The 21,582-nt window shown below is 39.8% G+C and overlaps 1 long non-coding RNA gene and 1 pseudogene across 1 annotated transcript; both read left to right on the top strand.

Moving 5' to 3' along the window:
- Positions 1-1,549: 1,549 nt before the first annotated feature.
- Positions 1,550-10,046, top strand: LOC124909466 (uncharacterized). The gene is made up of 2 exons (XR_007096187.1): positions 1,550-1,709; positions 9,711-10,046. It is a non-coding gene; the product is annotated as an uncharacterized LOC124909466 (long non-coding RNA).
- Positions 8,569-9,067, top strand: RPL32P10 (ribosomal protein L32 pseudogene 10; annotated as a pseudogene).
- Positions 10,047-21,582: the final 11,536 nt, after the last annotated feature.

Genomic DNA, 21,582 nt, shown 5'->3' with positions numbered 1-21,582 from the left:
AAAAAAGTTATATAGCTCATTATAAACCATCTTTGAAAAGGATTAAAACAAGACAACAATTATCTGTGAATAGCAAAATGTCCAGGGTAGTCAGTTAGAAACATGATTGACAAAGAAGTTTGGTTATCTCCATGGTTTACAATAACTTAACATAAAAACCTTAACTACGATTGATAGCATATATTCAGACATTAGAATTTTAGAAATTCCATACAATTTGGAACATGTATTAGCATCATTCACCAAGATACAACCTAAACAAGATTGAGCATATTTTGGCAATTCCATGTACCTAAACTTGTCACATAATCCCATTTACCTCTCTTTTCTGGACATTTCAGGGGCCCTCTAAAGTATTCGAAAAGGCAGGTGCCAGGAAAGACAATTTTGAAACTGAAGTTTGATTTTGGGAAGGCTGTTAAATGTTTGAGGTTTAAAACACTTGATATTATGAAATATAATTCCAGATTTCTGGGCTGGGCATGGTGGCTCACACCTGTAATTCCAGCACTTGGGGAGGCCAAGATGGGTGGATCATCTGAGGTCAGGAGTTTGAGACCTGCCTGGCCAACATGGTGAAACACTGTCTCTACTAAAAATACAAAAATTAGCCGGGTGTGGTGGCACATGCCTGTAGTCTCAGCTACAAAGGAGGCTGAGGCAGGAGAATCACTTGAGCCAGGGAGGCAGAGGTTGCAGTGAGCTGAGATTGCACCACTGCACTCCAGCCTGGGCGGCAGAGCAAAACTCTGTCTCAAAGGAAATAAAAAAAGAATTCCAAATTACCATAAGTTATTTATTTTGCCAAAATCGTGACTTAGAAATTTCAAAGAAGCAAAAGTCTTTTATAACCCTTTACAAATTTTGCCAAAGAGCAGATTATCACCTTAGGAAAATCTTGTTATTTTATTTTTTTGAGATGGAATCTCGCTCAGTCACCCAGGCTGGAGTGCAGTGGCAGTTTGTAACCTTAAAACAGATGCAAACCTTGCGTCTGACCTGCATTTTACCAATAGTCTTTAGGACTGTTTTTATTTCTCAAAGATTAAAGTCATGTGAACTAAAAGGTACCACAGCATTTATCTTCCCTTTAAAAAGTATTTGATCCAAGCCCTTGTCTTCCTTTAGGCCAAATTAATTAACGCTCTTTTTGCAGACATTATGCACAACATACACACTGAGAGGCAGGAGAAAACCCAGTCATTGGGTGTCACCCTTTAAGAAACAGGGCTAGGAAAACATGCAGATATCAAACCAGAAAGAAACTTATTCCCTAAGTCAGGATTGCTAAACAAAGCCTTGCCACCGGAGTTACAAGCCTTGCCCTCAGGATATAAAATAAGATGGAGGCTTGATTTCACAACCAAAACTTTGCAAAGAATACAGTGAGAGTTGGGTCCTGGCCTAATAAAACCATCTTCTTAAATGGGGGAAAAAATTTAAAGGTTAACTGCTGATGGGTGGAGAAGAGGGAAAAAAAAAGGTTTAAACATGCCTGAGAAATAACCTCTTATTCTTATACAACTGGTTCCTCCAACAGGAGAAAAGCTTAATTACTGTCCAATGGAGTAGAGCCCCCTGGCTGGGGAAAGGGAAGTCTCCAGTGGCACGTGGCAGAAAATGCCAGCCACCTGGCTGTGCTGGACCCTTGGGCCATGCATCCCAGCCCCAGCAAGGAGAGGAGAGTCATGGGGAGCTGCTGCTCGCCGGTCAGTACTGAAAAAGGAAGGAAAAAGCCATGAAAAGGCCCAGGAGTGATGGGGGGTGGGGACATGGTTTCTCCCACCCTCAGAAGTCCAAGGATGAAAAGGCTTAGAAGCAACAGTGAGAGGTTTTGAGTCCCCATTTCACTTACTGCTTTTTGAGGCCCCACATTGGGTGCCAAAAAATGTTGCAGGACTTTTCCTTCATTCAGCTAAAGATGGGGTCCTTGTTCATCCCATGGCCACAAAAATTTAGGCTTGCAGACAGTTTGAAGGGTGAGTAAAGCAGGGTTTTATTGGGTGAAAAGGAAGAAAAGGGGGGGAAACAGGGACTCTTGCTAGGACAGAGTCCCTGATAGAGTGCTTCCCACCTGCAGCTTGAATCTCAGGTTCCATACAGGAAGAGGAGGAGCCAGGCTCCTCCCTGCTACAAACATCATGAACTTCCCGAGGCTCCACCTCAGTGGGCAGGCTGGTTGGAGTTTCTCCAGGGACCCTCTTCCACCTGGCTGTCTCATTGGGATTACAGGCATGAGCCACCGTGCCTAGCTGGGACAAATTGTTAATGAAAAAGAATATTTGGAGAAATAAATTATTCTAGGGCTGGACCAGAGAAACTATTAAATGAGCCATAAGCTTCTTCCAGATGCTTACAGAGGCTTATAGAAAGCAAGGAAGTACTCAGAAAATTAAAGGATGGGAGTACATCAAAGACCACAGGACCCAACCTGAAAGAGCTCTCAATGGCCAAAGCTGGGTAATCTGAGCAAAAAAATAAAGTAGAGCAGGCTCAGTGGCTCACACCTGTAATCCCAGCACTTTGGGAGGCTGAGGCGGGTGAATCACTGGAGCCTGCACATTCCAGACCAGCCTGGGCAATGTAGTGAAATGCCATCTCTACAAAAAATACAAAAATTAGCTGGTGTTGAGGTTGAGGTGGGAGGATCGCTTGAGTAGAGGAGATGTAAATTGCAGTGAGCTGAGATTGCACCCCTGCACTCTAGCCTGGGCAACAGAACAAGACTCTGTGACAAAAATAAAATAAGGCTGGGTGCAGTGGCTCATGCCTGTAATCCCAGCACTTTGGGAGGCCGAGGCAGGTGGATCACCTGAGGTCAGGAGTTCGAGACCAGCCTGGCCAACATAGTGAAACCCCATCTCTACTAAAAATACAAAAAATTAGCCAGATGTGGTAGTGGGTGCCTATAATCCCAGCTACTTGGGAGGCTGAGGCAGGAGAATTGCTTGAACCCGGGAGGTGGAGGTTGCAGTGAGCCGAGATCACACGATTGCATTCCAGCCTGGGTAAAAAGAGCAAAACTCCATCTCAAAAATAAATAAATAAATAAATTAATTAAATAAAACAAAAGTAGTATTGGGTTATACTCATACAGTGAACAACAAGGCATCTAGACTGATATAAATGAGTAAATAAACATATAAATGGGAATAAAGGGACAAATTTTTCTTACTGAAGCATTCCAAATAATATATGCAGATAACCCCCGCTCCTGAAGATGGAACTTATTCACTCTTTCCCCTCTTTACTCCTCCTCACCTTGAGTGTGGGTTGAACTTAGTGATGTCAAAAGAATAAAGTATGTATAAGAAACAATTGGGCCAGGTGCAGTGGCTTATGCCTGTAATCCCAGCACTTTGGGATGCTGAGGCAGGCGGATCACTTGAGGTCAGGAGTTAAAGACCAGCCTGGCCAACATGGTGAAACCCTGTCTCTACTGAAAACACACAAAAAAATTAGCCAGGCATGGTGGCAGGCACCTGTAGTCCCAGTTACTTGGGAGGCTGATGCACAAGACTTATTTGACCCCAGGAGGTGGAGGTTGCAGTGAGCCAAGATTGCACCACCGCACTCCACACTGGGTGACAGAGCAAGACTCTGTCTCAAAAAAAAAAAAAAAAGAAAAAAAAGAAACAATTGCAGTGGAGAAATCTGAAGAACAGATTTCTCAACCAAGTGATCAAAGCTAACATCACCAGGGGCAAATCATGTTGATGGCATCCCGTCTGTGATAGGATGTGGTGAGAAGGGCACTTCCCCTCTGTGGTATTCTTCTCCAAAATCTTTAATTCCAGTCTAATCACAAGAAAACTATCAGACAAAAACAGACTGAGGGACATTCTACAAAATAACTGACTTCTTCAAACTGATGAAGTGTCATGAAAAACAAGTGAAAACTGTCACAGACCAGAGGAGATGAAAGAGACATGACAATATATGCCATTTGCTATCCAGGATTGGATCCTGGCACCAAGTGTTAGTAAAAAAAATTAGTGGGAAAAAACTAGTGAAATTTTAGTAAAGTCTGGAATTTAGTTAATAGCAATATACTAATATTAGTTTTTTGGTTTTGACAAATGTACTATGGTAATATAAGATGCCAACATTAGGGGAAACTAGTTGGAATGTATGTGGGAACTCTGTACTACACTTGAATCTTTTCTGTAAATTTAAAATTATTCCATAGTAAAAATTTTATTTTAAAAAGCGAGTATTGTTTCATAACAATAACATTAAGAAAGAACTGAAAGCAAGGAATTAAAAAATAAGGAGGCCCATAATTTTCCATGCAAATTCTGGAAAATATTCAGGGTAATGTGGAGGTGAGCAAGTTTTTAGGAGACTGATCACAGCCCCCAGATTATGAATTTGTGATAATATATTTTCAAGTCCTCATTCCCGAAGAAGTTGAGAATTTTCCTAAGTTTACCTGACCAGGGAAGTCAGGTGAACAGCTATCCTGTGATAGTCTCTAAGTGTTTTTGTTTTTGCTTTTTTAAAAAACAATTTGAGATAGGGTCTCTGTCAGCCAGGTTGGAGTGCAGTGGCTCAATCAAGGCTCACTGCAGCCGAGACCTCCTGGGCTCAAGTCATCCTCCCACCTCAGCCTCTCGAGTAAACTCTAAGTTTTGATAAAACCTTATGCTTCCTCACATGATCTTCTGGTCTTCTAAGAGCCACAGCTTGCTTTATTCTACCTGTAATGGATTCCCATTGTCCTTAGAATAACATTTTTTTTCCTTTTTCTTTTTTTTAGAAAGGGTCTTACTCTGTTGCTTAGGCTAAATACAAACTCCTGGGCTCAAGTGATTCTCCCATCTCAGCCACCCAAATAGCTGAAACGACAGAGGATAAAACATAAATCCCTTTATTGTTTGCCAGGAGTCTCTAGGCCGAGCTCAACTCTTGCCATGTCTCGCTTATACTCTATGCTTCGGTCATCTTGCTCCTTGGGAGCCTTCATATTCTTACTAGAATACTGTCCCCTTTATTACTGTCTCCATTCCACCTGGTTATATCTGAAATCATCTTTTTCATGTTTTGGCATAATGGCACTACCTCAAAGAGGTGAATTGGCTAGCCTAAGGTAACCACAATAGACTCAAGCCTGCTATAGAGGTCAGTGATCCTGCCTTCTGGTCAAAAACATTTCAATACCAACTTGGGCAACATGGCAAGACACCATCTCTACAAAAAATTTCTTAAAAAATTAGTCAGGTGTGGTGGCATGTGCTTGTCATCCCAGCTACTCAGGAGGCTGAGGCAGGAAGATCACTTGAGACCTGGAGTTCAAGGTTGCAGTGAGCTATGATCATGCCACTGTACTTCAGCCCAGGCAACAGAGCAAGACCCTGTCTCTAAAGTAAATAAATAAAATTTTAAAAATGTTTTAACAGTTCTCTTTCTTATTAAATTACATTATGAATGGAATTCCAAATAAGTGGTTGGGGTTGAGGGGGAGCAGTATTTTTTTTTGAGATAGAGTCTCGCACTGTCACCCAGGCTGGAGTGCAGTGGCGCAATCTCGGCTCACTGCAAGCTCCGCCTCCCGGATTCACGCCATTCTCCTGCCTCAGCCTCCTAAGTAGCTGGGACTACAGGCGCCTGCCACAATGCCCAGCTAATTTTTTGTATTTTTAGTAGAGATGGGTTTTCACCATGTTAGCCAGGATGGTCTCGATCTCGTGACCTTGTGATCTGCCTGCCTCAGCCTTCCAAAGTTGGGGGAGCAGTATTTTAATCACCCTAACAAACTATTTTCATTTAAGCCTTGACTTCTTATCTATTTGCACATATAAATTTTACAAAATTATAATCATACTGCTGATCAGCTTTTTTTTTTCAAACTCCAGTACACACCAGAGGATCAACTTATATTCTGCTTTATTTTTTGTACACGTATTATTAAGCATTTTCCATGTTGTTACATAGATTAGGTATATCTATTCATGGTTTTTTATTTTTAATTTTTCTGGAGAATGGGGGTATCACTATATTGCCCAGGCAAGTCTCGAACTCCTAGGCTCAAGCTATCCTCCCACCTTTGTCTCCCTAAATGCTGATATTACAGGCGTGAGCCACTGCACCTGGTCTATTTATTTTTATCATTCATATCTCATGTATTCATCTATATTTACTTAGAACTTTTTTTTTTTTTTTTTTTGAGATGGAGTTTCGCCCTGTCGCCCAGGCTGGAGTGCAGTGGCACGATCTCGACTCACTGCAAGCTCCGCCTCCCGGGTTCATGCCATTCTCCTGCCTCAGCCTCCCGTGTAGCTGGGACTACAGGCGCGCGCCACCATGCCCGGCTAATTTTTGTATTTTTAGTAGAGACGGGGTTTCACCGTGTTAGCCAGGATGGTCTCGATCTCCTGACCTCGTGATCCGCCCGTCTCGGCCTCCCAAAGTGCTGGGATTACAGGCGTGAGCCACCGCGCCCGGCCTACTTAGAACTTATAATGAATGAAGTACTGGGCAAGATAATGTCATGCCAAAACAGAAATCTTTGCATCTTTGCTCCAGGGGAGTTTATATCTAGTCTACATTAATCAGTTACTTTGCCTTCCATCTTTTTTTTTCTTTTCTTTTCTTTTTTTTTTTTTTTGAGACTGAGTCTTGCTCTGTCACCCAGGCTGGAGTGCAGTGGCACACTCTCCACTCACTGCAACCTCTGCCTTCTGGGTTCAAGCAATTCTCCTGCCTCAGCCTCTGGAGTAGCTGGGACTGCAAGGCACCTGCCACCACACTCTGCTAATTTTTGTATTTTTAGTAGAGGTGGGGTTTCTCCATGTTGGGCAGGCTGGTCTTGAACTCTTGACCTCAAGTGATCCACCCACCTCAGCCTCCCAAAGTGCTGGGATTACAGGCATGAGCCACCATGCCTGTTGCCTTCCATCTTTTATTAATATTCTTACATGCAATAGTCTATATTAATACAATAATATAGTCTCCTGTGCTCTGTAATTTACACCATGTAGCCTCTTTTTATTTTTTTTCAAAATAGTCCTCCTATAAATTGCATTTACTCTTTTATAGTTTCTCCTCATATAAACTTTCCCTAAAAAATCTCATGTTTTCCTGATCTTGTAGGATACAATAAAGTTTCTCCTCAAAGGTTTAGCCTGCTAACTTCCTGGTTCTTTGTTCCCAAACCTAACTTTCTTGTTCTACCTGCCTCCTCGCCCCTAGTTACTCTAAACAGCCTACCCCCTTCTCGTCAGCTCTAATCAATAACTCACATCTGTTTCCTTGGTTACCTGCACCCATTGTTTGCCCAAAACTGCACGTCTCACATGCTTTACCACTGTACCTCACATCCCCCTTCCCTTCCATATTTAGAAAGATATTTGAAAGTAGCCAATTAGGTCAGTTCAGATTGTGTGGTCTGACCCCAGCCCATTGGGGAGTGACACAGAGGTAAGGACTACACGTCAGAGATAAAAACCCCCTGCTCTCCTTTGTTCCATGTGCTCTTGCTATCTTGATTGATGTGAGTGGCACCCTTCTGCAGAAGTAAATTGCCTTGCTGAGAAAACTTTTGCCTGAGTGCTGGTTTCACTTTGTGGCACCGAGCATTTATTTCTAGAGCATTTTTATATCCGACAGTCTTAAATGCTGAACATTCACTACAGACTCCCAAAATTTAATCTTCTCTAAAATCTTCATTGCAAGTTTTGAAGACACCTCAAATACAATTTTTTCCAAAAAGAACTTATCTCCCTCCACAGATAAAGGGATCTTCCTCTATGTTCTATGTTAACTAATGGCATCATTATGTACCCAATTGTTCATAAGGTTTTCTTTAAGTAAAAACTTAAATTTACCTATGAATCTCTCCTCATTTCTTATCACATCTCTACCTAGTAGGCCTCATTACTTCGACATTTTAAATATCTCAATTTTATCTCTTTATCTACACTCTCATTGTATTCCTTCAGTTTCTACTCATCTCTTCTCTATGCTTGCAGTAGCTCTTTAACTGGTTTCTGCCTTCTCCATTGTGATTTTTCAGTCTTTATCCCTCTCTACTGATAAGAATTCTCTTTTTAAAAGCCAACCTTAGGCCAGGTTTGGTGGCTCATACATGTAACCTGGGCACTTTGGGAGGCCAAGGTGGATGGATCATTTGAGGCCAGGAGTTCGAGACCAGCCTGGGCAACATGGCGAAACCCCGTCTCTACAAAAGTACAAAAGTTAGAAAGTCTCAGCTGGTCGCAGTGGCTCATGCCTATAATCCTAGCACTGTGGGAGGCCAAGGCCGGCAGATCACTTGAGGTCAGGAGTTCGAAACCAGCCTGGCCAACATAGTGAAACCCCATCTCTACTAAAAATACAAAAAAAATTAGCTGGGCATGGTGGTGGGTGCCTGTAATCTCAGCTACTCGGGAGGCCAAGACAGGAGAATTGCTTGAACCTGGGAGACAGAGGTTGCAGTGAGCCGAGGTTGTGCTACTGGACTCCAGCCTGGGTGACAGAGTGAGGCTCCATCTCAAAAAAAAACCAAAAAAAATAGTCTCATAACCTTGTCTCAAAATAAATAAGTTAATTAATTTTTAAAAACCCCAACCTGGGCACTACCTACGGAGGTGGCAGTCATCTCCTCCTCGGAATCATGGCTGCCCTCAGACCCCTTATGAAGCCCAAGATCCTCAAAAAGAGAACCAAGAAGTTCATCTGGCACCAGTCTGACCGATATGTCAAAATTAAGCCTAACTGGCAGAAACCCAGAGGTGCTGACAACAGGGTTCATAGAAGGTTCAAGGGCCAGATCTTGATGCCCAACATTGGTTATGGGAACAACAAAAAAACAAAGCACATGCTGCCCAGTGGTTTCTGGAAGTTCCTGGTCCACAACACCAAGGAGCTGGAAGTGCTGCTGATGTGCAACAAATCTTACTGTGCTGAGATCGCTCACAGTTTCCTCCAAGAAATGCAAAGCCTTGGTGGAAAGAGCTGCCCAGCTGGCCATCAGAGTCACCAACCCCAATGCCAGGCTGCACAGCAAAGAAAATGAGTAGACAGCTCATATGCATGTTTTGTGTTTAAATAAAAATGTAAAAACTGCAAAAAAAAAAAAAAAACCTTAGTCAAATGATCTTACTTCTAAACACATGATTTCTTGTTTGTTATCTGACACTATCAATTCATCATATTATCATCATTTTAAACATTTATTGAACATATAATATATGCCAGATATTCTTCTAAGTACTTTATATTATTTAATTTAATCTTTGCATCAACCCTTTTGAAGCAGCCATTATTTTCATTCCAATTTTACAAATGCAAAAACCAGAGCATAGAGAGGTTAAATAATTTGCCCAAGATCAGTAATTTGGCAGAGCCAGGTAGTTTGACTCTACGGTCTTTGTTCTTAACATTACCTCACAGCTACCTTTCACAAATATATTAATTCCAGACCTCTTAGTGTGGCTTATGGTATTATTCCCAATTCAATCCCAAATCCATCTCCCCATTCATTAATTACTTATTAAATACCAAGTATAGTTGATCTGTATATTTTTAAAACTTCTTCAAAGAGCATGTGAGTTGATGAAAAATAATGAGTACAAAATGTTGCAAACAGTTACGTGGTATAATACAATGAAGTAGAAATATTTTCAAATTCTGTGTGAATAAAGGGAAAAGCTTAAACTGGGCTGAATTTTGCTTTTTCACACTGTGGTCATTTTTCATGTTGTTCTTAGGTTTGAAACATCTCCTTCCTTGACTATCAGCCAAACTACAGTATCTTCAAGATGCCACTAAATTGTCTTCTGCTCTATAAAGGCACCACTGACGTAGTGCAGAATTGGCATTCCTTCTTTGAACACCCATCTTACATGGTGCAGAGTTGTAATATTGCATAGTCCATTGAATTGTTATCGCTTATTTATGTGGCTGTCCTCCACCTTCATTCCCAGAATTTAAACAGAGATCAGTCTTATTTTCCTTTGTATTCCCTTCCGCTACCTAGCATTGAGCATATACGATCTTCAGTTGTTGTTTAAAACATAAAAAAATAAAAATAATGGTAGTCGACACTTATGATCAGTTTACTATGTGCCTGGCTGTAAGTTCCTTACATAAGTCAGATGAATGAATGGATAGATGAATGAATGAATGAATGAATGAATGAATGAATAGAAGAAACAGTCTAGAGAGAGTTGGTTGGTTAAAGCTGTGTTTCACAGATTTTCAGTCACCAGTAGGTTCTGCACTCTGTATATTGTGGTAGACAGAATTCTAAGATACCCCTCCTGATTCTGCTCCCTGGTATCCATGTTTTTGTGTGGGTAGAACCTGGAACTTGCTTGTAACCAATAGAATGTGGCAAAGGTGAAGGGGTTTTACATATGTAATTAATATCCCTAATAAAATATACTACTACCCGTATTTCCTGTTTGATTTTTGTTTTTGTCACATCAATCACTGAAAACCCCATGCGTGCAAGGTTATAACATCATGGAATAGAATGTAGGATAGTCTAATGTATGAACTATCAACTACCTTGACAGTAGTTTGCACAATGCCTAACAGATGTCAAGTGTCACAATGTTTATTTTAAAAACGTAAAATGGCCAGGCACCGTGGCTCGTGCCTGTAATCCCAGCACTCTGGGAGGCCGAGGTGGGCAAATCACTTGATATCAGGAGTTCGAGACTAGCCCAGCCAACATGGTGCAACCCTGTCTCTACTAAAAATACAAAAATTAGCTGGCGTGGTGGTGCGCTCCTGTAATCCCAGCTACTCAGAAGGCTGAGGCAGGAGAATCACTTGAACCCAGGAGGCAGAGGTTGTAGTAAGCCAAGATTGTGCTACTGCAGTCCAGCCTGGGTGACAGACTGAGACTCTGTCTCAAAAAAAAAAAAGTATCCCATAGCACTCCTGTAAATTCACTGCCATGTCCTGGTGCCTGTGGCACAAAATTTGGGAACTGTGGTCCTATTCCATTCCTTTTATTGGTGCATATTGTTCAATTGTATGGATAAGATTGTTTTAATTACTACTGCTCCATTACATGTTAGTTTAGGATGAGGCTGTATCTGTTTTTTATTTCCTTTCTTCTTCTTCTTCTTCTTTTTTTTTTTTTTTTTTTGAGACAGTTTCACTCGTCACCCGTACTGGAGTGCAGTGGCGCAATTTGGGCTCACTGCAACTTCTGCCTCCTCGGCCCAAGTGATTCTCCTGCCTCAGCCTCCCGAGTAGCTGGGATTACAGGCACCCACCACCACGACTGGCTAATTTTTGTATTTTTAGCAGAGACAGGATTTTACCATGTTGGCCAGGCTGGTCTTGAACTTGTGACCTCAGGTGATCTCTGCACCCCACCCCAGCCTCCCAAAGGGCTGGGATTATAGGTGTGAGCCACTGTGCCCGTCCAACATTTAAGTTTTTAAAGATGATTTACAAACTAAAAAAAAATCGGCACTTTTCAATTTTACCATAGAGTTATTTTCTGTTTGGACATGAATTGCCTTTGCTAATTTTGATGAGGCATTTTGAAAGGTAACTACAGATGATATGTATTTTGTAGTACTTGTTTATTATATTTGGGATAAGAAGTAAAACTACTTAGAAACACAGGTGAAATTTAATAGTGTTTTGTTCAATTTCCAACATAAAGGAAATTTCAAAGCCAAAATGATGGGCAACAAATAACTTTCAAAAATTTTACTATTCAGTACTTTCACGAGTTAATAAGACAGGGGAGGGAATTGGTTTTATAAAACATATTTTTAAACAGCCCATATCATTTTATAATTATATGAAATGTGCATCAAAGAAAATTATTCTAAAACTCTATAAAGCATGGCAGTACCACTGTTCTGGTCGATTATGATAAGAGGAATTGGCGGGAGCCCATATAATCTGCATGTGAATTTGATTAAAATTGTTTTGCTTTAAATATATACGTGGATATGTTGAGAGGAAGATACTTCTATTTAAAAAATGTTAAATCAAGTAGGTGCAGTTGGGTAAAAATGGGAAAGAAGACATCTCATCCAATGGAAGGTACAAAGAGAATGCTGTTTTGTGTTTTTAGGATTTAATGAGTCATTTGACCTCGATTAAGTGTTTTGTTTGTTTTTCTCTTGTGAGTCTTTCATTCTGTTTTCTGTGAATAAACTAATGACTAAAAAGAGTTGTAGTAATGATAATGACACACTGCTCTAAAGAAACCATGGGAGCAGGGGATGAAGGAGGTGTATTGGATCCAGTCCACTGTATCAAGTGACGCTCTTACCTATAGAAAAGTTTTTTCCCTTATCCCAAACATTATTAACTATATTGGTTAACCTAAGAAATGTAATCAAATACACATTTGTATGCAGACTAAGGAAAGACTTTCAATTCTCTCTTGTTTAGATTTTTTAAAATTTCAATTATGATCTTCTACATTTAAGAAAAATTATTACTATTATTATTATTTTTTTTTTTTGAGAGGGAGTCTTGCTCTGTCACCCAGACTGGAGTGCACTGGCACGATCTCGGCTCACTGCAGCCTCCCAAAGTGCTGGGATTACAGGCGTGAGCCATGGCGCCCTGCCGAAAAATTCTTATAAAAGCAGTTTTTAAAATTCATTCATCAACTAAACGTGTTTGGAATACATAAACATGGTAAGCGTTGGCTAGGTGCTAAGTATATAAAAAGCAAAAAAGTACATGGTCAGTTTGTTTCAATCTCATATTCTCTCTCTCTCTTTTTTTTTTTTTTGTGACGGAGCCTCGCTCTGTTGTCCAAGGCTGGAGTGCAGCGGCTCAATCTCAGCTCACTGCAACCTCCGCCTCCCGGGTTCAAGCGATTCTCCTGCCTCAGCCTCCCAAGTAGCTGGGATTACAGGCGACCACCATCACGCCCAGCTAATGTTTTTTGTAATTTTAGTAGAGATGGGGTTTCATCATGTTGGTCAGGCTGGTCTCGAACTCCTAACCTCAGGTGATCCACCCGCCTTGGCCTCCCAAAGTGCTCAGATTACAGGCATGAGCCACCGTGCCCAGCCTGAATCTCATACTCTTTTGATGGGTACAGGTTAGAGTAAAATTTTTAGAACTATGTGGATTCATTGTCCCCTTCCTAGGGAGTAAAGAGCAGAATAAATGAAGAGAAAGATGAAATAATACTTGAGTGTTTAATTTTCCTTTGAATTCTCAAGTTCACTAATTAAATAGTGTGCAAGCTTTCTATTAAGACAGTAACCATAATACTCTTATTTATAGGTCATATTGTTTGTTTAAATGAGGATTGGCTTAGCACATCTCATGAGAAAGACCAGGTTAATATATGACCACTTCAGATATGGTTTGAGAACTTAAAAAAATTGTTAATGCATCCAAGTAGTCTTGATATTTTGTTATAATTTTGTTTTCTGGTGTCACTTATACATTTATTTTATTTCTTTTGCAGATCTTGCTTTGTGAAATCTTTTTTTTTGCCATGGCTAGAAAATAGAAAGTTTCCCTTCTATATTAAGAGTTATCATTTTAGGGAAAAGAATGTTATTGGTAAGATGAAGTTTTTGGAGAATAATATGTAATTTACACTGACACAAGTGATAACTCTGAATTTCATCTTCTTGATGATCCCTCATTCAAAGATACTAGTTTTATTTTTTCTTTGTTCTTTTTGGCATTGGATTTTTAACCTATAATTTTATAACCAGCCAATCTATCAGTAAAGTACGAAGGTTTTTCAGACTATAGTAGCTTGAAACATATACTTCTGTTAAAGAATAACTTCAGAAAAGGTAAAATCATGACTCTCATACATACAGATATAAAATGAACATGTGCTAAATATCTTACTTAACTCATTGTTAATGAAGGAACCAGTAAGATTTTACAGCCAGTTTAAAGGAGAATTCAAAGAAGCACAAATTTATATGGAATAAGGGAATTTTGAAAAATATTTGCAAATAGATATTAAGCTGTTTTCTTTTTGTGGAGGTGGGTAGAGGGATGTGAATTGTTTATTGTGTGTCTATAGATAAGAATTATTTTGCATTGCTATCAGTTATCCACAATTTACAGAGTTGTAAAATAGCTCAAAGGTAATGAAAGGCACTGAGCCTCTGTATAATCAGAATCAGATAATTTGGAAAGGTGTGCTCTAAACAATGCATAATTTTTCACTGAAGAACAAAATGTTCCAAGTACGCTCCCAAGTAACTTTTATTAGGACACTACTAGAGAAATGCTTCATCAAAAGGAAGGAGTAAATTTTTAAAAAAAGAAGAAGAAGAGGAGGAGGAGAAGGAGGAAGGAGGAAGGAGGAAGGGAGAAAAAGAAGAGAGAAGAAAGGGGAAGAAGAAGGGGGAAGAAGAAGAAGGAGACGGAAGAAGGAGAAGGAGAAAGAGAGAAGAAGAAGACGGAGGAAGAAGAAGGAAGAAGGAGGAAGAAGAGGAGGAAGAAGAAGACAGGAGATCCCCCAAACAGGGTATAGGGTATACAACACCGAGGAGTGGTGAGGCTCAGGACGACAGAAGAGCAATAGGCCAGGGCCCAGCCAGCCCAGGGTCCAGAAAGAAGGAGACCTCCTAAGAGGGTTCCAGGAAGATAGAAATGGAATTGACGTGCTTGAGCATATGGAAAATATAATTTAAAGGCTTTTGGTAGAGATGTTAAACCTTTTACAGAACACTAATGATTAAAAAAAAAAAAAAGGTGAATTTAGGCTGGGTGCGGTGGCTCATGCCTGTAATCCCAGCACTTTGGGAGGCCAAGGCTGGCAGATCACCTGAGGTTGCGAGTTCAAGACCAGCCTGACCAACATGGAGAAACTCCATCTCTACTAAAAATACAAAATTAGCCAGGCGTGGTGGTGCATACCTGTTATCCCAGCTACTCGGGAGGCTGAGGCAGGAGAATCGCTTGAACCCAGGAGGTGGAGGTTGCGGTGAAGCAAGATCACGCCATTGCACTCCAGCCTGGGCAACAAGAGCAAAAAAGGTGAATTTAAAAATGAGGCCAGCATTGATTTTAGGAATTCTGGCTGCACAAGAATGGATATGTAATGCTACAGATGGCTCAGGTGTGAACAATACGTGCATAGTCACTGTGAAACGGCTACGTTGTCTGGGATATATACCCTGGGGTTTGCTGTCTCACACTGAGAAAGAATTCAGGACATGGACACATGTGGGTAGGTTAAGGAGTGGAAAGTTTAATAGACAGGAGAAAGGAGAGAGGAGAGCAGCTCTTTGCGACAGAGAGAGAGGAGAGAGGAGAAAGAAGAGAGGAGAGAGATCTGGAAAAAAAAAGAAGGAGACTTGGGGGAACGCAGCAGATTTTACAGTCCGGTTTGAGGAGGCAGTGTCTGATTTGCGCAGGGCTCACATATTGGTTCGGTCAGGTATGACGTTTACATAGCACGTGGGGAAGGCTGGTTGCCCCACCCTAATCTTATTATGCAAATGAGCTTTTCAGTTGATGGGGGCCATCTTGTCTGCTCTTTACTGTACACGTGGCTGACAAAGAGAAGGGAAGACGGAGCCACCATCTTGAACGTATCTAGTCCCTAGTTCCTACTGGCATTCACTTGTGCAAGCTCCCAGCTTGCTTGTTTATGTCTGCAGCTTGACTTTACAGGCTGTTTTTTTTGTTTGTTTTTTTGTTTTGAAACAGAGTCTCTCTGTGTCATCCAGGCTGGAGTGCAATGGCTCGATCTCAGCTCACTACAACCTCTTCTCCCAGGTTCAAGCTATTCTCCCGCCTCAGCCTCCCAAGTAGCTGGGATTACAGGCATCCGCCATCATGCCCAAATTTTTCTGTTTTTGTAGAGACGGGGTTTCACCATGTTGGCCAGGCTGGTCTTGAACTGACCTCAGATGATCCGCCTGCCTCGGCCTCCCAAAGTGCTGGGATTACAGGCATGAGCCACCACACCCGGCGGAGGTTTTTTTTTTTTTTTTTTTTTTTTTTTAATTTGCAATATATAATTAATTCACCTCACTTCCAGGAACATGTGCTTTAAAAATGTGGAATACTGGCAAGTGTTAACATTTGAAAAAAACAATATTGGCTGGGCATGGTGGCTCATGTCTGTAATCCTAGCACTTTGGGAGGCCAAGGAAAAAGGATTGTTTGAGGCCAGGAGTTTGAGACCAGTCTTGGCAAAATGGCGAGACCCTGTCTCTGCAAAAAATAGAAAAATTACCGGGTGTGTTGGTGCTTGTCTGTAGTCCCAGGTACTCAGGAGGATCACTTGAGCCCAGGAGTTTGAGGCTGCAGTGAGCTATGATTGTGCCCCTGCACTTTGGTCTGGGCAACGGAGTGACACCCTGTCTCAAAAACCAAAAAACGTAAAAACAAAAAAACCCAAAACAATATTAAATATACTAAAAGTGTTCATTGCTTTCTTCTTATTTTTAAGAGATTTTTCTCCACTAGTGTTACTTCCATTTTTTTCTTCATTCACTAGTTAAATAAATGGAGGGAAAAAACCATATATTTTATATATATATATATCACAAAAAACATACGTGGGCTAGGTGCGCTGGCTCATGCCTGTAATCCCAGCACTTTGGGAGGCTGAGGCGGGCGGACCACCTGAAGGTCAGGAGTTTGAGACCAGCCAGGCCAACATGATGAAACCCGTCTCTACTGAAAACACAAAATAATAAGCCGGGCATGGTGACAGGTGCTTGCAATTCCAGCTACTTGGGAGGCTGAGGCAGGAGAATTGCTTGAACCCATGAGGCAGAGGTTGCAGTGAGTGGAGATCGCGCCATTGCACTCCAGCTTGGGCGACAGAGCGAGATTCTGTCTCAAAATAAATAAATAAATAAAAAAGAACATATGTGATATATATGTATTTATACTTATATGTATTTCAGAATCCAAGATCAACAGAATAAAAGTGGAATATATGGTATAGAATTGACCTTCATAGCTCTCTGTAGCATAATTCATTTGATAAGAATATAGTTATGATTATTATGGCTAAGTACTTAAGTATTAGTCTTTCCATCAATATGACTACAAATGTACAAGGTACGATTTAGCATTTTCAAAACTTTGTTACAGCCTTAAAAATCATATTCATATAAAATGCATCATGCAGCAGAGAAAATTTTTAAGTATAAATTTAAAATCAATTGTAAAATTAAATTTGAAACCACATAATAAATGGTATGGTGTACGTGTAAATGTCTGAAAGACATTTGAAAAATAGGTATGTGCTCATAAATAAAAACAAGTATCTTCTAAGAGTTAAAAATATAGGCCACCTTTTTGATAATGGAAAATATTTAATTAGAAATATGAGTCACTGTAGTAACAAGGGAATAATTTTTTTTTTTTTTTTTTAAGACAGAGTCTCGCTCTGTCACCCAGGCTGAAGTGTAGTGGTGTGATCTCTGCTCACTGCAACCTCTGCCTCCCGGGTTCAAGTGATTCTCCTGCCTCAGCCTCCTGAATAGCTGGGATTACAGGTGCCCACCACTATGTCTGGCTAATTTTTTGTATTTTTAGTAGAGATGGGGTTTCACCATGTTAGCCAGGCTGGTCTTGAACTCCTGACCTCGTGATTCGCCTGCCTCGGCCTCCCAAAGTGCTAGGATTACAGGTGTGAGCCATGGTGCTCGATAAATTTTTAATTAATGGGAGATTTTGAAGCAATCACTTGGCCCCTTGGTTTATTCAGTTGCAATGCAGTCAACGCCCCTGTTCTGGAATATTTACAATACCTCCTTCATCAAATTACCTGAACCAGTTGGGTTAAGATTTAAAGGCTCAGTTAAGACTGTGTTTTGCTATTCTTTCATTTCTTTCATGGGTTTCTTCTCCTTCTGTCATCCTTCTGTTTCTGCTCAAGTTACAAAAAGATAAATCTCTCTCAAAGGCACTACAGAAACCATATTCTACTATACATACAAACCATAGGCTGGGTGTGGTGGCTCATGCCTGTAATCCCAGCACTTTAGGAGGCCCAGATGGGTGGATCACCTGAGGTTGGGAGTTTGAGACCAGCCTGGCCAACATGGCAAAACCCTGTCTCTACTAAAAATACAAAAATTAGCTGGGCGTGGTGGCACACACCTGTAATCCCAGCTATCCAGGAAGCTGAGGCAGGAAAATTGTTTGAACCTGGGAGACGGAGGTTGCAGTGAGCCAAGATCATGCTACTGTACTCCAGCCTGGGCGACAGAGCGAGACTCTGTTTCAGAAATAAAAATAAATAAATAAATAAGAACCATGACCTGTATTCTTGGTTTATTTTAAATTTTATGATTCATGTTTTAGATAATTGTGAAATTATAAAACATGGCTACTATTGGAGATAAAAATAGTTTATATGTTGCCAGATTATCTATCACTGAAATTCGTTTTTGTTTTGTCTATTTTTCTACCTTTACCTGGGTTTTTGTTCTCCCAATCATTATAAACAAACAAACAAACAAATAAAAGCACCTCACTGTAACTTGTATTGTTTGAGAGAGCAGTTCCCTCCACTAATTTTTTTCTGCTGCAGTTGTTTAAATTAAACTTGAATTACATTTTCCTCAGCCATTTAAAAAAATCCAGTATAATGAAAGCTGAATGTAATCTTTGTGGCAACAAGAACTTTTGTTTTGTTCACTGATGTATTCTAAAAACAGTGCTGGCACACTGTAGAAGTAAACAATAGACATTTCTTGACTATCATACTTTTTGACTGTAACAAATATAAACAATATAAAAATGTTTAAATTAAAAATGAGCCAGGTATGGTGGTGCATGCCTGTAATCCCAGCACTTTGGGAGGTCAAGGCTGGTAGGTCGCTTGGGTCCAGGAGTTTGAGACCAGCCTAGGTGACATAGTAAAATCCCATTTCTCCAAAAAATGCAAAAATTAGCCAAGCGTGGTGGCATGTGCCTGTGGTCCCAGCTACCTGGGAGGCTGAGGTGGGAGGACCATTTGAACCTGGGAGGTTGAGGCTGCAGTGAGCCCGGATCATGCCACTGCACTCCAGCCTGGGTGATAGAGCGAGAACCTGTCTCAAAAATAAATAAATAAAATAAATAAAAATATTTTCTGCCACAATCCTAATTCCCCAAAGCAACTATTATTAAGTACTGTGTATCCTTGCACAATTTTTTTTCTATGTGTATCTACTTTTTTTTTTAGTTCTTAGAGAGGGCGTACATATTTTATATGTTAATTTGCCATTTATATTTCTTGTTTTGTTTAGTTTCCTCTTTTTTCCTCTTGGGAAAAATCATAAATATAGCAAGCATCAACACTGCTTTTTTTAAAAAAACTTAATTTTAATAGGTTTTGGGGGAAGAGGTGGTGTTTGGTTACATGAATAAGTTCTTTAGTGGTGATTTCTGAGATTTTGGTGCACCCATCACCTGAACAGTGTACACTGCACTCAATGTATAGTTTTTTATCCCTTACCCCGTCCCACACTTTCCGTCAAGTCCTCAAAGTCCATTGTATCATTCTTGTGCCTCTGCATCTTCATAGCTTAGCTCCCACTTATGAGTGAGAACATACGATGTTTGGTTTTCCATTCCTGAGTTACTTCACTTAGAATAATGGTCTCCAATTCCATCCAAGTTACTGCAAAAGCCATTTTTCTTTCCTTTTTATGACTGAGCAGTATTCCATGGTACATAAACCACAACTTCTTTATCCACTCGTTGATTGATGGGCCGGTTCCATATTTGTGCTGCTATAAACACGCGTGTGCAAGTACCTTTTTTTGTATAATGATGTCTTTTCCTCTGGGTAGATACCCAGTAGTGGGATTGCTGGATCAAATGGTAGTTCTACTTTTAGTTCTTTAAGAAATCTTCACACTGTTTTCCATAGTGATTGTACTAGTTTACATTCCCACCAGCAGAGTAACAGTGTTCCCTTTTCACCAAATCCATGCTAACATCTATTTTTTTTTTATTTTTTGATTATGGCCATTAGCAAGCATCAACATTTCTGCACTATGGCATCAACTATAATTCATTCCTATCTTCAGCCACTGTATTGGTATTTTAAGATTATTTGGTAGGTTAAGTCACATCCTGAAATTTCCAGAAGACAGATTCTAATTTGTTACTAAAGTGCTGTGTGAGCTTGGGCAAATTATTCAACATCTCTATGCCTTAGATTAGATTTCTTCTCTACAAAATAGAAATAGCCAAGGGGTTGGTGTAAATGGTTAGCAAATGTTGGTCACAGAAAATGAGTAATGAACGGATCTTCCACCTCTCAGGATCTGATTCCATATAACCACTGAGCAGGAATCAAATAAAATGCATTTGCTGCAACATTAAGAGCCAATAATAGTCTTTTTAAAAAACCTATTTGATTGATTAGTAAAAACATTTAAAATACACACTTCCAAAATTTGAATATTGGAACACTACTTCATGATACAATCAACATATCAGAAAGCACTCGTGGTTTATAAATCACAAACAGTACAAAATACTTGCAACAGTTACCTAGATTACTTAGAATGAGTCAGAATCAGAATGAAAATCTTTTCTGGATTTACTAGTACATTGAAGAAAAAAATTCTCCCTAATTTTGTAAGTGCATTTACCGATACAAGTTCAAACTTGATTCTAATTCATTACATTTTAAAACAATCTTCGAAGTATAAAGAGGTTGCTCTGAGTGTTAGCATGAAAATGCTGAGAGTATAATTTAAGATTTTTTTTTTTTTTAAAAAGACTCAACTGCAAAACTTAAGCCACTTTTAAATCCTTCTAAGAAATCCATTTACAAAGTCCCTGAAATTTTTCTTTATTCAGTATGGTTAAATTAAATTTAATCTGCCAGGAAATTCTGTTTCACAAGTTTCTTAGACATATACAAGAAATGTTATCCATTGCCTCACTTGACTGATACCTAACCTGCAATTTGTGCTAATGGGCAATGAATAACTTAGTGCTCATTCCTTTATGAGCTCTTTACTGCCAAATCAAAGAAGCCTTTTACAACTGGCTGCCTAAGAATACCAGGGCACAACAGGAAACATGTTGAAATATTATTGAAAACAATATTGGAATTAAAATTAAAAGGTATCCTTTGTTATAATTTGGGACCCATAGCATTTTTTCATTATGCTTGCTGCCTTACCGGCTTTATGAAGTTTGGAAAACTAGTTACTGAATTTTAATATGTGAAATCCACACCTAAAAAGAGCAGACCATGACCCCATAGAAGAGTCTAAAAATACCCTCTGATGCCTTCAGACCTTGATTCTGTTATAATATTCTTAGGTTGCCAAATTAAGAATTCCTGCTAATGCAGACCATAATATGTAAAGGAGATTTGGTTTCATTGTTCGGTTTGTCCACCCATGAACCACAGGAATATTTCATGCCTTATGTAAAACTTATCACATTTCTGCTTCCTTTCTGCTGAATGAGAGCATCTATTTATAGGCTACATAACATGAAAAGCATGGGAGGGTTTTCTTTCAGGCAATAAAAATGTGATCTAAGTCTTCCCTTGTAATGAAAAACAAACAGTTTGACAAGTGTAATTCTGTAACTGCTTAAAAGAGGAATCACTTATCAAAACAGATCTTTTAGTCTTCTAACAGAGTGTGTAAATTTGAAAAACCTCTTTGTTGTCCATACATAATA

This window comes from Homo sapiens, chromosome 3 (assembly GCF_000001405.40).
Source record: "Homo sapiens chromosome 3, GRCh38.p14 Primary Assembly".
NCBI classification, from domain to species: domain Eukaryota; kingdom Metazoa; phylum Chordata; class Mammalia; order Primates; family Hominidae; genus Homo; species Homo sapiens.
Note: the sequence above shows the minus strand (reverse complement) of the source record. Positions and strands in the feature narration are given on the sequence as shown.